Source organism: Homo sapiens, chromosome X (assembly GCF_000001405.40).
Source record: "Homo sapiens chromosome X, GRCh38.p14 Primary Assembly".
Taxonomy (NCBI): Eukaryota; Metazoa; Chordata; class Mammalia; order Primates; family Hominidae; genus Homo; species Homo sapiens.
The window spans coordinates 109,297,463-109,300,756 of NC_000023.11; the positions used below are offsets into that span (position 1 = coordinate 109,297,463).

The window sequence follows — 3,294 nt, forward strand, 5'->3', positions numbered from 1 at the left end:
GCAGAAAGTGCAGTGAAATGCATTCATGCAGATGTAACATACCTCTTCCCCGTATGCACCCTCACTCAATATATGCATGGATGTAGTTGCATACCATGGCTTCTGCACTCACACAGACACACACACAGGTACACATTGCCAAATACCAAAACACATATGTATATACCCATATAGGTACATGTATACAAAGTCAAATATGGATGCCTGGAAAATATAAACATGGTGGTACACACAAGAAAACACAGTTATAAACAAGATGGCTATGTAAATGATAGTAGCTACTATTTATCAGGGGTCTACTGTGTGTCCAGCACTTCACATATCCTGGCTCATTAATTCTCAAAAATTCTGCTCTGCGGGAGATATCATTAATCTCATTTTAAAAATGGGAAACTAAAACTTAGAGAAGATTCTAACTTGCCAAGAGACATGAAATTAGTATGGCTTATAGCAGAGCAGAAGTCCAAAACCAGGCCAGTCTCCCTGAAAAGTTGCAACTCTCCAGTAGCCATATGTTATAGACTGTCATGACAGTTCAAAGACATGACACTTTAGAAACATCCATAAACAGATGCATACCCATTTATAGGTACTCATGCTCCTTAACCATGAGAATTTTAAAATGTGATGAACATAATTGAGGGTCTGTTGTCATCTTAATCATTTGTTTGAACTAAACAGTCTAAAATTCCATTGAGTGATTAGTACCCATTGGTAAATTAAAATGTGTTTAAATTATCTCTACAGTATTTAAATTTAAACACTCTTGTATCTTGGAGCAGGGCCAGCCAATATTTTTAAATAATAACACTATAATTAAAGCTTAGGGTAGGCTTAGGATCTCATTCAAGTTAACAAAAGATTACCCTTCACACCAGAATTTAAAACAAGGCTCTAATTAATGAATGTGCTAATTGTTCTTCTTTTTTTGCAATCGTTCAAAAAGATGCTGCACAGATATTCACACAAAAACCACAGCTGATACCCTGGTGAATTGCAGTGCTCAGAAAGCTGTCATTTCACTGTGCTATCCTGGGCAACTGTGGGGCACTCCTGTGATGTCAAATGTAGGCCTAGAGTAGAGTCCTCTAATGTGAATTTACACTCTCAAGTATTGGAGAGCTGTAGCTATCTCTAGAATAGGGAACCCAGCCCCCTCGGTTTGCCTGAGACAGTCCAGCTCCCTCAGTTTGCCTGAGACAGTCCAGCTTACTCCTATTGTCTTGATTTAGTTGTTAAGAATACCTTAAAGAGTGTCCTAATTTGGGTGATAACTTACCTGGTCACCCTACATCAGATCATTCGCGGAGTCTTGAATCTTATCAGCAGGGAAGGAGATAAGGTGGGGAAGAGAAATGAGGAAATGGATAATGGTGACTTTCTTCCTGGGCCAAGACTCCTATTAGCATTGATATTTTTTCCAGAGTATGGATTTCCTGCCATGGCCCCCTAGTTTGTACAATCATAACCACATACAGTTCCAGTTACTAGGGGCTTTCCACCTTCCTCTGGCACAACCAAAATTATAGTGTTTCCTGGGAACTAAGACTTTTTTCTTCTTTGTGGTACATACAAATTTTAGCACCTTGTAATAATGGTGATGATGCTACAGAACAGACATGGGATTCAAAAAACAATTCCTTAGTGTTTCATAATTTTATCTGGCTAGGAATTAGAAGATTACAACTCAATGTAACATATAGACCTTACAGAAGAAAGAAAATGTTTGCAGAACATTTCCAACAAAACATTCAGAGGAAGGCACATACTCTGAAGATTGGAAACACTAAACAAAAACACATGGGGTGCGTCATGGGGAGCAATCCTGCCTGAGCAAGCAAGAGGTTGACTGCTCTGCTGGACATTTTTCAAGTCTAACTTCTAAGGATTTTTCTCCTGAAGAGACTGAAAGAAGAACAATGGGGGTCAAACTGCAAAACACACAGCCAGCAAAAGCCAGTCTTTTCTGTGGGATCTTTGAAAGACAATGAGAAACGATAACACCTCAGATCCCTATAATACCTTTCTTTTGAAAAGCCCATTGCTCTTTCACATTTTAAAATTATATTCTCTTGACATTTCTATAATATAGTCATGAAGAAATAGAGGGAATTTCCGTAAGTTTTGCAAGACAATGGCAGAGCCAGAATCAGACTAAGCTTTCTTGATTTCAAGCCTAGGAGGGTTTTTGTTTTGTTTTGTTTTTAATTGAACTTTGTGCCTATGGTAAGATTCCTTTAGCATAGTGGCTAAATGCAAGGACTCGAACTTGACTGTTAAAGTTTGAATCCTGGCTATACCACTTACCAGCTGCATGACTTTAGGTAACAACCTTCACTTCTCTGTGCCTCAGTTTCTTCATTAATAAAGCAGAATAGTAATAAATAGTAATAGTACTTCTTTCAGATTGTTTCTGGAAAGATTATATGTGATATTACATATAGAACTCTTAGAGCAAATCTTGGCACATAGCAAACATTCAATAAATGTTAGCTGTTACAAAAAACAATTTCTAACACCAATTGTGGGTCCTTCACTAAGCAATCAGTTGGATAGACACACAGCTGAATAAATCTCAAAATATCCATTAATGATCAACTCATGTTTGGGGTAACCAAATAAGGGAGTCACGTTAATTGTGTAACCATAAATTTGGTAGTTAGTCCCTGTGATAAAATTACATTTTCAGCAGTTCTGTTAAAGCACAGTTTTCTGAGCTCTTTAGATATCAAGAAATGAGTATTAATATTTATCAGAGTATGTTGCAAGTTTCTTTCTAAATAATTAAACAGGAGGAGGGCCTCCTTAAAGGGTTTTTGATGACTCAAGAATGAAACTTATCCTAAGCTAAATTGTACAGAAAAAAAATTAAAACGTGCTGAGAAGAACATGACATGGTTTAGTTTTCCTCCTGGGGATTAATAAGTATGTGGCATTTTACACTCAACTCTAATGCTACAACCACAATCTATTGTTTCAATCAAAAGTTCCTGCACCCTTAACATTAGTTTCTTGAATTTGCCATTTAGATGCCAGCAGTAATGCCAAATATCTGCATTCTCCAATCAATGGCCTCTACCTGCCATAAATGCCTTTCTCTGTATTGTCCAAGGCAAAAGAAAGGGCAGCCAGAAAGAGTGTTTACAAGGTGAATTGTCCAGGAAATTGTGCCCAAAGTGGAGGAGGATTGTACCTTGTACATTTTGTAGGCAAAGAACAGTTGGCTGAAGAACAAACACGGATTTAATGTTCCTTTCTTCCTTCCATATGAAGAGAGCCATGCAGGCTCTAAAA

The 3,294-nt window shown here is 37.6% G+C and overlaps 1 annotated feature.

Annotated features, from left to right (window-relative positions):
* Positions 1,647-2,247: an enhancer, noted in NCBI's record as "OCT4-NANOG hESC enhancer chrX:108542338-108542938 (GRCh37/hg19 assembly coordinates)". NCBI's record gives its function as "activates a minimal SCP1, AML or CMV promoter by ChIP-STARR-seq in naive H9 embryonic stem cells {active_cell/tissue: H9 hESC(naive)}" and the evidence as "EXISTENCE:reporter gene assay evidence [ECO:0000049][PMID:30033119]".